Raw genomic sequence first — 12,480 nt, 5'->3', positions numbered from 1 at the left:
AGCATTTTCTCTGTAGTTTAATACCACCCATCTTAAACAGCTATAGATATAGTGTGCTGTATTTCACTTGTTCTGGAGTTAACAAAGAGTTTTTAAAAAAAAATTCAGGGCAACTGATTTCTGTTCAGTTTAGGGAGGAGTTTTTAGGCACTCCTGTCATTGTTAAAAGACTCTTATCACTCTTTTAGTTTTCCAGAATCACAGCATTTTGCTGTCTAGCCTTGCCCCATAAATTTGTAGGTAATATAGTGGACATACTTAGAGATGTCAGAGTTGTCTTCACAATCAGGTTTAGTAGCTGATCTGAAAAATAATGAAATGTAACTAAAATTCCCTTCAGCAAGTAAGAGGATTTCTGAGGCAGTAAAGAAGTCGATTGAAGAGGTGCATCTGCTAGCAATTTTTTAGGAATGGGGTTCATTTTATTCTCTAGACCGAGTGTTGCCATACTTTATTTTATAAAGGAACAGATTGTAAATATTTTAGGATTTGCATGCCATGTGGTCTCTGTCAAAACTAGCTATAGACAGTATTAAACAAATGAGTCTGGCTGTGTTCCAGTAAAACTTGATAACCTGAAATTTGAATTTTACATAATTTTTATGTTATGAAATATTCTTTTGATTTGTTTCAGTCATTAAGAATGTAAAAGCCATTTCTTATTTCTTAGCGCATATTAAGCTGGCGACAAGCTGGATGAAGGCTTTTTTTTTTAGACAGGGTCTTGCTCTGTTGCCCAGGCTGGAGTGCAGTGGTGTGATCATGGCTCATTGCAGCTTTGACCTCCTGGGCTCAAGTGATTCTCCCATCTCAGCCTCCCAAGTAGCTGAGACTACAGGTGTACACCGCCATGGCTGGCTAATTTTTAAATTTTGATCTTGTAGAGACGGGGTCTCCCTATGTCACACCGGCTGGTCTTGAATTGCTGTGCTCAAGCAATCCTCCTGCCTCAGCCTCCGGAAGTGCTGGGATTATGTGTGTGAACCACTCTGCCCAACAAGACCCTATTTTTAAAGTTTTCAGATTAGCAAACATTCTTTAAGCATCCTTAATCCTTCATGGACACTTGAAAAACTAGTAACTCTTTTTGGATGAAGTGAGCATTCTATCTTTTAAAATATATGTGTAGAATTTTCTTATATGAACGCTTAAATCAGTTTTAAGTATTATGTAGAAGTTTTATTTTTTTTTAATTTATTTTTTCTGACAAGGTCTTGCTCTGTTGCCCAGGCTGGAGTGCAGTGATGTGATCATAGCTCACTGCAGCTTCGAACTCCTGGGCGCAAGTCCTCCTGTCTCAGCCTCTCGAGTAGCTGGGACCACAGGAGTGTGCTACCATGCCTGGCTAATTAAAAACTTTTTTTTTGTAAAAATGAGGCCTTGGTATGTTGCCCAGGCTGTTATGTGGAAGTTTGTAAAGTAAACTGGCTAGATACTAAAAATCAGAAGCGATATCTTTTCCAGTAACTCTGGAAATACTAGTATTTAAGATTTTATTTATATAGTACTTAGAATAAGTTAGACTATAATACATATCTAATGTCTTATAGACCATGTGAATGGTGTCATTCACTTATAGGCAGTGATAAAATAATTTACTTGTTGATAGGAAAAATAGGCCTTTTAATTGTTTTGTGTAACTGAAATTAAATAGGAATATAAATGTTAGACCTTGAGTGCCTAGTTTTGAGGAGCACAGGGACTAGTTTTGCTCACACTGCACCCCCAGTGCCTACCACAGTCTTTAGAATGTAGTAGGTACCTGGTACATATTTGCGAATGAGTAAATAAATGAAATCTTAGGTTCTTTGTTTGAAAGAAAGTGGAATTCATCTTGGAATGACTTTGGGACTGATTCAGTTAATTTGAAACTTGTGATTTCTAGATCAGATGAAATTATTGACTGTTTAAACATGTACTTTTAGTAAGCCAACTTAGAAATATCCAGGAAGACCAGACACAAAATTCCAATGAAGTACTTTACAAATGTGTCGAGAGCTTCCAGCATACCTGGCACCACACCAGGAATTTTAATGTGCCATCTCAACAACACGACTGAGTTAGACAAGCACCATGCAATAGATACATAATGCGAGCCATGTATGCAAGTTACAATTTCCTAGTAGCCACGTTTAAGGAAGTAAAAAGAATACAGGTCAGATTAATTTTAATAACATTTGTTTAACCTAGTGTATTGAAAATACTGTCATATCAACTGTAGTATAAAAAAAGGTTGAGATATTCCCATCCTTCTTTCTGTACAAAGTCCTTGAAATCAGGTGTGTATTTTACATTTCTAGCACATTGCAATTCAGACACTAAAGTTCCGTCGGAAATACTTGATCTGCATTTAGAATTCATAAAATTTATGGTTGAAAAAGCAGACCCACATGCCGAGGCTGTTCTAAACATACTTAAAAGCATTTCAGTGTTTAAGGTTATGCTTTATTAATTAAAATAAAAAATGGACTTTCTGAGTCACATTAGCCTCATTCTCAGTGCTGGGTCACCACCAGTGGCTGGTGGCTGCCATGTCAGGGCTGCTGCCCTGTTGGGGAAATGGGGAGGGTGCACACCTGTCTCAGGTTACAGAGCCTCAGGAGTGGCAGAACTGAGCTTTCCGTTGAGAAAGCACGGTTAAATGCTCACGTGTGACTGTAAGAGATTTCACTGACAGTGATTAAGAGTAACCAAGTCATTGTATTTGTGGAATGAATCAATCAGTAGAGCGTTTGCAGGAGGGACGGATCGAGCCGCAGAAATACACCATGCAGGACCTGCCAGCGTTTCCCTGTCTGCTGCAGTGGGAAACCCTGGCAGCTGCAAGGTGGCGAGCGACATGGGACATGGTCACTTTTGTTTTTCGGAAAGCTCCCTCCAGCTGTAGTTTGGAAAGTGGATTTGAAGAGAATGGAGTTAGAAGACGCTATTCGAGTGCGGGTAGAATCCTCAGCAGGGATTATCATGTGGGTCAGAAACCCATGGTTGCCTTCTGGTGTTGAGTCCTTCGAGGCACTGCTTGGAGGGGCATGTGGCAGGCAGGGGCACAGTGGCTCGGGCGGGGGTCGGCAGCCACCAGTCCGCTTCCCTGGTGACACCGCTTAGAGAACTCATGTAGATGGGATCATCCCCTTGCAGATAGGTGTGGAAGCCCAGAGGTGATCAGGTTTTTACACAAAAGTTAGAATGCCAAGCCATGCATTTAAAATAACTATACCTGCCAGATGGACAAAAGTGCTGGTGCCGTTATGGCTCACATATTCTATCCACATCACCCTGTCAGGGTCTGGAGCCTCCAGGCGCACAGGGTGGTCACTGAAGGCCTCACATGCCGGAGGCTGGTTCACAGGCTTCAGGCCAGGGCTGGACACGTTCTCCCCGCCCGCCTCCCGGAACTCTTCGTTTTCCTCTCTTCCAGGCCCCTGGTCAGGACAACCTTAGAAAAGTGTTTCTATTGATTAGATTATTGCTGAGGCTTAATGTTTGGGTTGGTTTTTTTTTTTTTTTTTTTTTTGAGACTGGGTCTCACTCTGTCACCCAGGGTGAGTGAGTGGCATGATCATGGCTTACTGCAGCCTCGACCTTCTGGGCTCAAGCAATTCTCAGCTCCCAAGTAGTTCGGACTATAGGTGTGCACCACCACGCCCAGCTAATTTAATCTTTGTAGAGATGGAGTTTTTCCATGTTTTCCAGGCTGGTCTCGAACTCCTAGGCTCAAGTGATCTTCCTGCCTCAGCCTCCCAAAGTGGTGGGATTGCAGGTGCGAGAGCCACTGCACAATGTGTCTGATTTGTATCCATTGTATGTTACTTTTATCAGAACATTTTTGGAGGTTAGCAGGTGTTTCCTTATATGCCTTAGCTCTGCTTCCTTTTGTTTCTCAGGTTTTTCACGCTTCAGCAGCAGGAAAATGAAAGATTGGCTACTAACTATTTGTAACAAAAATAAATCTTACATATCTTGTATATTCCACTAAAAAGTAATTTTCTATACTTGGATTTAAATCATTGGTTAGTGTTTAAAACAAGACTTAGAGGATTGTATTAGTTTAAGCACCATTAAAAAATGACATTTAAGAATTTCTGAAATTCAGGGTAAGGGGTGATTGTTAGCCATGAAAGATTTATTTTCAAACAATAAAAAATATGCATCAGAAAATTCAATGTTAGGGAAGTTCTGAAGTGATTATTTTTTTGTTTCAACTGGGACCTCTTTTCCCCTTTACCTCCCCGATGCCCACATTTCAGAGTCTGTTCTTTCCCACATTCCTATGTAACTGTACAATTTAGTCTTCTTTATGTCACTTGCTAAGTAATGTATGCATTTGTTCATTCAACAAACACTGAGCTACTGTTTTATGTAAGGAAATACAGGGATGAATGAGCTGTAGTCTGTCTCCTTCCAAGAGCCTGAAGTTTAGAGAAGCCTGTTTAGAGCCACAAAAGCAGATGAAGAGACAGTGCAGGGTGATGTAGATACCGTCATGTGTGAGTGTCTGCGGATGACACAGCGAAGCCGGTGGGCGCTGCTCCCTGCAGTTGCAGGAGAATTCGATCATGCATGAGCAGAGACTTAGAAATGAATCGGTATTCACTAGATGGAACACGATTCCACGGGGGCGGAGTGGCGTGAGGAAGGTTCTGGAAAAGCCATCCATTGAGGGAATTCTGAATGGAAAAGCCGTCCATTGAGGGAATTCTGAGTGGCCTAGTAGAGCAAGCAAAGCAAGGTGTGTCCCCTTGGAGATTGTATATGTCATGTCAAGGGGTTAATTTTATTCTTCTTGGCAGAGGGGTCTCCAAAACAGCTTTTATTCCAAGTTTTAAAATTCTGACCTCATCTCCCATGTGTTCATGTAGAATGTGAAAGCCAGAGTTAAAACACAGGGCAATATGATGAGAGCAGTGACTGGCACCTTTTCCCTGGAATATTTCTAAGCCGTTCTGTTGCCTGTAAGCTACTCATCTGTTCAGTTTCAGCAACGCTCAGTAGACAGGGTGATTGCAGGTTCAGCCAGCACTTGAGAACTTAGTCCTTTTCCATCTCTGTCACTCACTTACAGGGCAATGTGAATACATTTAACCATTAGGTAAACGCTCTCTGAGCCTCGGTTTCTGTAGTGTGAAATGTAGATAATTATACTCATATTCACTTGCCTCATGGGACTTCTCCTTAATATTTATAGCTGCAAAATACTTCACAGTCATTTTTATTAATAGTTACCAGATGTGTTGTAAGGATTAATGAACTTATGATCTGAAATGTTTTGAGCCCCTGAAATAGGAGGTGACTGCCTGCACAGGGGAGATGTAGAAGAGCATAAAGGTGCAAACAGACACACTTGAAAACTTCAGCTATTACGTGTGAAGGATGAGCACACGGTTATGATTTCAGTATTCTTGGTGGATGTATTTGGCATCCTTAAAAAGGTTGCTGAACTCATACCCAAGGCCTGTGCCAAAAGCCCCCTTCATGTGGCGTTCACACCCGTTCTATTTATGACCCTTTCCTCCTCTGAATCCTCTCTCTTTTTTTTTTTTTTTGAGATGGAGTTTTGCTATTGTTGGCCAGGCTGGAGTGATGCAATGGCACTATCTTGGCTCACTGCAACCTCCACCTCCCAGGTTCAAGCAATTCTCCTGCCTCAGCCTCCCGAGTAGCTGGGATTACAGGCATCTGCCACCATGCCCTGCTAATTTTTTTTTTTTTTTTTTGGATTTTAGTAGAGACACGGTTTCACCATGTTGGCCAGGCTGGTCCCAAACTCCTGACCTCAGGTGATCCTCCTGCTGCGGCCTCCCAAACTGCTGGGATTATAGGCGTGAACCACCGTGCCTGGCCTCCTCTCTGCTTTTGAAGCTTCCACTCCACTGTCACCTTCCTTGATTTTAGTGATTTGCTTATGTGTTCCCCACCAATCAGGTTGCCCATCTGTTGAGAGCAAAGCCCATGCCTCTGATGCTGATGTTGCCTGAGGCACCTGGTGCCACGCCCCCCGCATGGTAGGACCTGGTGCAGTCTCTGTTGAGCTGAACTTTTTTACATGGAGAGTGAGAACCAAAGTGGCAGTCAGTCGAGTCCCTGAATCCATTTCAGCAAATATTTAATAAGCATCTATCTACTGGGTTTTTCTAATCACACTGGGTCCTGAAGGAAAGTGTAACTTGTTTGCATGTTCTATTTCAGAGGGCAGGAATCATGTGATTTTAGAAAAGGTTTCATGTTAGGCGCTTAACATCCCATCCTTGGGGTATTTGCATTTTTAGGCTTTAAGGGGAATAAACTTCACCTTTGTGGAAACAGTTGTTCCCCAATCTTGTCCACTTTAGGTAAGATGTAGTGAAGAATGCAAGTATTTTGGAGTTTGAGAAATGTTTTTTCTGCTTTTGTCATGAAATATACCCTTGAACACCTTCCCATTTGTGGGGACGTTAAATACTATAGGCAGAAAAATGAAGATACGAGCCCTGGCATGCGAGGACTGCGTGGCAGTGTGGGACGCGTGCTTGAGCCTCACTTTCTTCTCTGGGAGATGGCGGTAGGCGGGGCCGTGGAGAGCAGTAGTGGGACAGAAGGAGCTGAGTGCTGGGAGGGGCGCAGAGGGGAGACTGTTCTGGTCAAGGAATTGAGGTGGAGGCTGAAGGTCTTGTTCTTCAGGCCTTGTCATGTGCAATGGCCTAACTGCCACCAGGGGACCCTCCCTCATTCTGTCCCATTGGCTGCTCACATAATCTTTAATGCACCCTGGTCCTAGCTGTCCTGGGCCTCAGACCACCCCAGGAACTCCCTAGTGGTTGCAGTGTAAAGTACACATTCCTTTTGTTCATTTCCTTGGTCCTTCCACCTTATTTTCTTTTTTTCTTCTTTGACACAGGGTCTTGCTTTGTTGCCCAGGGTGGAGTGTGGTGGTGTGATCATAGCTCACTGCAGCCTCCAACTCCTGGGCTTAAGTGATTCTCCTGCCTCAGCCTCCTGAGGAGCTGGGACTGCAGGTGTGCACCACCACATCTGGCTCCAGTCCTTCCAGGTCTTTAAGCCTGATCGCTGCGTTTCCTCTCGAGTCCTCTCCACTGCACCTTTTCTCAAATCCTGCCAGTGCCCCCTTACCTTCTGTGGAATCAATTCCCTCTTATACTTTTCTTCCAAAAGCAGCCCCAAGGCACGAGTGGTCATAGTGGTGCCCTCAGGTGAAGCGAGGCTATTCCATGCTTGTAAACATGGTGAGCACCCTGCTGAGCGGGCTGGCTTCTTCGGGACTCTTCTCCCTACAGCTGGAGTCCAGGCTCCCCAGTAGGAAGGAAGGCCTGGGCGGTGTGGCTCGCGCCTGCAGGCTCTGTCTAGAAGGCCTGACTCCATCGAGGCCTCAAGTGCCCAGACGCACAAGAGCCAAAGCACCAGGACTGCCGAGGGCTGGGAGAAGGGAGGTGGGAGACGTGGAGTCCACATCTCTGGGCAGTTAAAGTTCAGTAACCGAGCAGCCACCAGCTGTGCCCTGTGGACCCAACAAGAAAGAAGCCCTACCCGCGGCTGTCCTGGCAGAATGGAGCCCTCATGAGAGCCCAGCATGGGAGGCCAGGCCTGGTTCCTGCAGTCGGGTAGGGGGAGGGGGAGGGGCAGAAGTGGCATGTTCCCAGCTTCTTCTGGGATGAGCACATCTGCTCGGCTGCTTCTGTGTCCCACAGCCACTCCGCAGCAACAGAATGATGCTCTGGTTCCTTCTCTCCCCGAGGCTTCCCTTTTCCTGGCTCTGATGATTCTTAACTCTGTCTCTTTAATGTTCCCTGGCCCATGTGTCCACAAGTAACCAGGCCCTTTCCTGTGGCTCTTACCTCCTCCCCCTGCTCTGTCACTGGAGTTGCATTACTGATCTGCCTCTTTGGACTTTAAATATTCTTCCGGTCATGTTGTGTCCCCACCCGGACAGTGTCTCTGGCCTTCAGCTGTCTTCTTGCTTTGCTCAGGACTCAGTGGGGACCCCCTTCCTCTCCTGAGTAGGGTTAGTTTCCGATGCCCAGGGCCTTCTGCAGACCTGTGCCTGCCATCTTGGGCTCTGGGTTTGTGCTCCAGCCAGCCTGGCCTCCTTCCTCCTCCCCTCCTGTGACTACACTCCTTCCTCTCCCCAGCCATCAGAGCCTGGCATGGCTTTCACCTCCTGCCGGAAGTCTTTCTGTATCTTTCCTGTCTCATAATGCTTGTCTGTACAGGCCCAGTCCTCGGTTCACATGTGCATATGTGATTGGAGGGAGGGAGAGAGCGTCGTGTGTGTAAGTGCACCATGTGTGTTGGTGATCTTGGCATGTGGCCTGTTTCCCTGGCTGGGGGAGGAGCCCCTTGCTGGGTCCCTTGTTCCTTGGAGGGTGTGGAGCCCCTCACACTCGCACACCTGATGGGCCGATTCCCCTCGGGCAGGTCCTGGCCCTCCAGCCTGTGCAGCGGAAACCTTTCTGCTACCCCTGTTCTGTCCTCTCGACCCCTGACCTGCACACTTGCCTCCTCAGCCCGTGCCCCGCATCATGGTGCAGTCAGCCAGCCCGGACATCAGGGTGACCAGGATGGAGGAGGTGAGTCTGTTGGGTCACGGGTGGCCACCCCACCTACAGCGAGCAGGTGGCCCTGATGCCGAAACTGTTGAGTCCACACCCACAGTTTTTGATGTTAGCATTCCTGTTTTGGTAATTAGTTATAATATAGGTCACTGCCTTCTCCCTCTCTATTTTCCTTGTTATACTTTTCTATTTTCAACTTGTTAATCATATGATTGCTAAACTTTTAGGTGCTTGACTGCTAATGTAGTCTGCTGCCTTAATAGCCCACAGCTAGGCAGAGGAGATTTCTATAAACAGAACAATCTCCTTCTTCTAAATGTTTGCTTAATTCTCAGTTTTACATTTCATTCTGATTCATGATATCAGCGTGAAAAGACGAATGCTAAGCTGTGGAGAAAATAGTCTCTTATAATCTCCCACAGATCAACAGCACTTCTAATCTTATGAATAGCAAATCTATTTTCTCCCACTGCGCTTTCATTCTCTTAGGAAATGCTGTATCTTCTTAGGAAAATTTTCTTTATTAAAACAACAGCAACAGAGGCACAATCATTAGAAAGAATATTCAGATCTCCGTGAATTTACTTCTATCTGAATGACCTTTTTACCCCAGTGCACACTGGGCATTCACGAATTTGCTGTGGCCGGGATCGGGGTGCCCCCTCCCCTGGGAATGGTGCCGGTCTCTTCTCTGAGGCAGGTTTGAGTGTCCCTGGTCAGCAGGATGGTCAGAGCAAGCCCCTTGCCAGTGAAGGCAGCAGCTTCTGTAGCTCATCATGGTGGTTTTCCAAGCTTGGGCTTTTGCAGAAGTCTCCAGAAATGTCTTCTTCAGTGGCAAGGGTATAATCCATAGATGGCATCTGGGTTTCAACTCACAAATCAACTCCAGTCAAGTGGGGATGGGGCCTGGAGTGCCAGTCTGTGCTTTCCACCATCCTGCTCCCTGCTTTGTTGACTCTGCAGCTCTGCCCCCAGTGCCTGCCTTTTCACTTAGTGCAGCCTTGGATGAGGGCTTTCCCCTCTGGAGGCCTGCTGTAGAATAATGCCATGATCCTTCCAGCCCAGCCCAAGCCAGTGTCTTACATGGAAGCCAATGGGATGATGATACTTGCAAATCTGAGGCATGCAGCTGGCCTCATCCTGGGAGAGCCTGGCCTGGGGAAGTGACAGTGGCTGGCCTTACCCGGGGTGGGGGCGGGGAACAGAAGCCATTTCAGGACCCTGGTTACCGTTCAGATTCCCGGCTCTCATAGTTTTGCGTATTCTCCCCTGTTGGGTCAGTGATATTAAAACTAAAATAGAAGAGAATAAATAAAACATGGACAATGTGCAAAGGAAGAATGATTGAAGGATTGCCTAATCTTTTAGAGTATTTATGCTGGTGACAGTTATTGATCTATTGGATTGAGTAAATTTTGCAGCCTAGAGATTCACCACAAAAATGGGCTGTTAATCTCAAGAGGTGCCATTAATTTCCTACCCTGAAAGTGTGGTTGGTGGGGAAAAGAGGGCCCCTGGAAACGGGAATATAAAGGACAGTTCCTGGGAAAACGCATGATTTATCAAGCTGCTGAGGTAAGCCAAGTAACTGTAAGAGACGTATAGATCTCAGCCGCTTCCCCATTCAAATAAATCCCGTATTTCAAATGGAAAATGACCATTCCTGTAATATAAATAATTTTTCCATAAATATCGGAAAACATATTTCTTCTGGATAGCAGTGCTCTCCACCCCACCAATCTCATTCCCTGTTCCTGCCTTCTCCTTTTCTTCGGTCACTGTGAATAGGAATAGAAAGATGATCTGGCAGCCTCTTCACATGGCTTCAGTTATAGATGAAAGAATGCCCCAGAAACAATAGGATTTGGGCAAGCGGTGGCTGCTCTCCCCCATGAGATGTGGGCTTTGAGTGTGTGTGTGTCCTCTGCCTGGGTGACTCAGACAGAGTGACCGACATGAGGAGAGCTGCTGGCCTCACTTGGTGGCTTCTCCCTGGGGGCTGCTTCCTGGCCTCTCTCCAGGGTCCGAGGCCCCCCCAGCCCCTGACATGGCACCTGCTTTCCATAGCAGCCAGAGCAGCAGCCTTGGAGAGAAAGGGCCACGGCCCACAGGGAGCCTTTGTCCCCTCCTCATCCCCCTCCTCGTCCCCCTCCTCGTCCCCCTCCTCGTCCCCCTCCTCGTCCCCCTCCTCGTCCCCCTCCTCATACCCCTCCTCGTACCCCTCCTCGTCCCCCTGCTGCCTTGCTCGGGATGCCCAGCCAGGCTGCAGGCCCGTGGCTCCTTGTTGGTGCCTGAGCTGGCCAGGCTGTGCTGAGTGTGTTCCGGTCCTCCGATGAGATCATTGTTTAGGTTTTGCCGGACAAAAAAGTGCTCTTCTGGTCTCTTTAGTGACTCAGTCTCTTCGTGAGGTTGGGGGTGGGCAGGGGCTTTGTCTCCATGGGAGGAAAGCTAACTAGCCCTAGCAGGGTTTTAGCGTGCACCTACTGTGTGCTGCCCTCTGTGGCGAGGGGCCTTGGTCTTTGTAGCGTGCTGGCCCTGCATGGCAGGCCCTGGATTCTATTTTGTATGAAAGGTAAAAAGTAGATGGGGCAGGGGCTGTGGCCATGGTCAGTGCTCTTGAGCCTGGGCACACAGCACAGGGCCTGCGGGGTGCACTGTCGGCCCCTCAACCTTTATCACTTTGGAAGCCAGGGCCATGCAGCCCTAAGTGGCAGAACCAGTGTGGGAACCAGGGCCTGGCCGGGTCCCAGCCATGTTCTTTATTTATTTATTTTGTCGAAACGGGGTCTCACTATGTTGCCCAGGCTGTTCTTGAACTCCTGGGCTCAAGCGATCTTCCGTCTTGCCCTCCATAAGCACTGGGGTTACAGGCTGAGCCACTGCCCCTGGCCTCATGCTCTTTTCCAAGTCAAAGCTGCCTGCTTGGTTCGTGTTGGAAAGTTTTCTGTTCTCAGCCCCTGCTTCCCCGTCCTGCTGCAGGCTCAGCCGGAGATGGGCCCTGACGTGCTGGTGCAGACGATGGGGGCCCCGGCCTTGAAGATCTGCGACAAACCTGCCAAAGTGCCTTCCCCACCGCCTGTCATAGCTGTCACAGCGGTCACCCCGGCTCCGGAGGCACAGGACGGGCCCCCCAGCCCCCTGAGTGAAGCCTCTAGCGGGTACTTCTCCCACAGCGTCTCCACCGCGACCCTGTCGGACGCCCTGGGCCCCGGCCTGGACGCTGCGGCCCCGCCGGGGTCCATGCCCACCGCCCCTGAGGCCGAGCCCGAGGCGCCCATCAGCCACCCCCCACCGCCCACGGCCGTCCCCGCCGAGGAGCCCCCTGGCCCCCAGCAGCTCGTGAGCCCCGGTCGGGAGCGCCCCGACCTCGAGGCCCCGGCGCCCGGCTCCCCGTTCCGCGTCCGGAGGGTGCGGGCCTCGGAGTTGCGCTCCTTCTCGCGCATGCTGGCTGGGGACCCCGGCTGCTCCCCGGGGGCCGAGGGGAATGCGCCGGCCCCGGGCGCCGGGGGACAGGCCCTGGCCTCTGATTCCGAGGAAGCTGACGAGGTCCCGGAGTGGCTCCGAGAGGGCGAGTTCGTCACCGTGGGCGCCCACAAAACGGGCGTGGTGAGATACGTGGGGCCTGCCGACTTCCAAGAGGGCACGTGGGTCGGCGTGGAGCTCGACCTGCCCTCAGGTGGGTACCGGGCACTCCGGGCTCCAGGGTGGTGCCGGGGGTCTGGGGAAGCAGGAACGTGGCCGGCCTGGGAGGGGACAGGGTCCGGGCAGGAGAGGGAGGGGCCGGGAGGCAGCGGCTTGGCTGAAGCTGCGGGAGCGGCTGGGCCTGCAGGGGTGAGGCTGGGGGCAGGGCTAGTCCCTGGAGACGACATGGAAAATTCCTGATGATTTTGGCTACAAAGATCCTGTACCCATCCCCCCATCGCCATGGCTGTTC

At 48.8% G+C, this 12,480-nt stretch overlaps 1 protein-coding gene across 8 annotated transcripts in view, besides 3 other annotated features; it reads left to right on the top strand.

Annotated features, from left to right (window-relative positions):
* KIF13B (kinesin family member 13B) overlaps positions 1-12,480 on the top strand; it is a 196,111-nt gene that overhangs the window by 179,547 nt on the left and 4,084 nt on the right. For 5 of the 8 annotated variants that reach the window (XM_011544459.4, NM_015254.4, XM_011544457.2 and 2 more), the window contains 2 exons: positions 8,499-8,561; positions 11,526-12,222. In XM_011544459.4, coding sequence (XP_011542761.1) covers positions 8,499-8,561; positions 11,526-12,222 — 760 coding nt within the window. Of the gene's footprint in view, positions 1-8,498; positions 8,562-11,525; positions 12,223-12,480 lie in introns of those variants that run through there. The other 3 variants (XM_005273458.2, XM_011544458.2, XM_017013257.2) reach the window with 2 other exon arrangements.
* Positions 3,154-3,717: an enhancer, noted in NCBI's record as "H3K4me1 hESC enhancer chr8:28937642-28938205 (GRCh37/hg19 assembly coordinates)". NCBI's record gives its function as "activates a minimal SCP1, AML or CMV promoter by ChIP-STARR-seq in naive H9 embryonic stem cells {active_cell/tissue: H9 hESC(naive)}" and the evidence as "EXISTENCE:reporter gene assay evidence [ECO:0000049][PMID:30033119]".
* Positions 7,911-8,412: an enhancer, noted in NCBI's record as "H3K4me1 hESC enhancer chr8:28932947-28933448 (GRCh37/hg19 assembly coordinates)". NCBI's record gives its function as "activates a minimal SCP1, AML or CMV promoter by ChIP-STARR-seq in naive H9 embryonic stem cells {active_cell/tissue: H9 hESC(naive)}" and the evidence as "EXISTENCE:reporter gene assay evidence [ECO:0000049][PMID:30033119]".
* Positions 8,413-8,916: an enhancer, noted in NCBI's record as "H3K4me1 hESC enhancer chr8:28932443-28932946 (GRCh37/hg19 assembly coordinates)". NCBI's record gives its function as "activates a minimal SCP1, AML or CMV promoter by ChIP-STARR-seq in naive H9 embryonic stem cells {active_cell/tissue: H9 hESC(naive)}" and the evidence as "EXISTENCE:reporter gene assay evidence [ECO:0000049][PMID:30033119]".

This window comes from Homo sapiens, chromosome 8 (genome assembly GCF_000001405.40).
Source record: "Homo sapiens chromosome 8, GRCh38.p14 Primary Assembly".
Taxonomy (NCBI): Eukaryota; Metazoa; Chordata; class Mammalia; order Primates; family Hominidae; genus Homo; species Homo sapiens.
The sequence above is the reverse complement of the archived record's forward strand: the minus strand, read 5'-3'. Positions and strand labels throughout refer to the sequence as shown.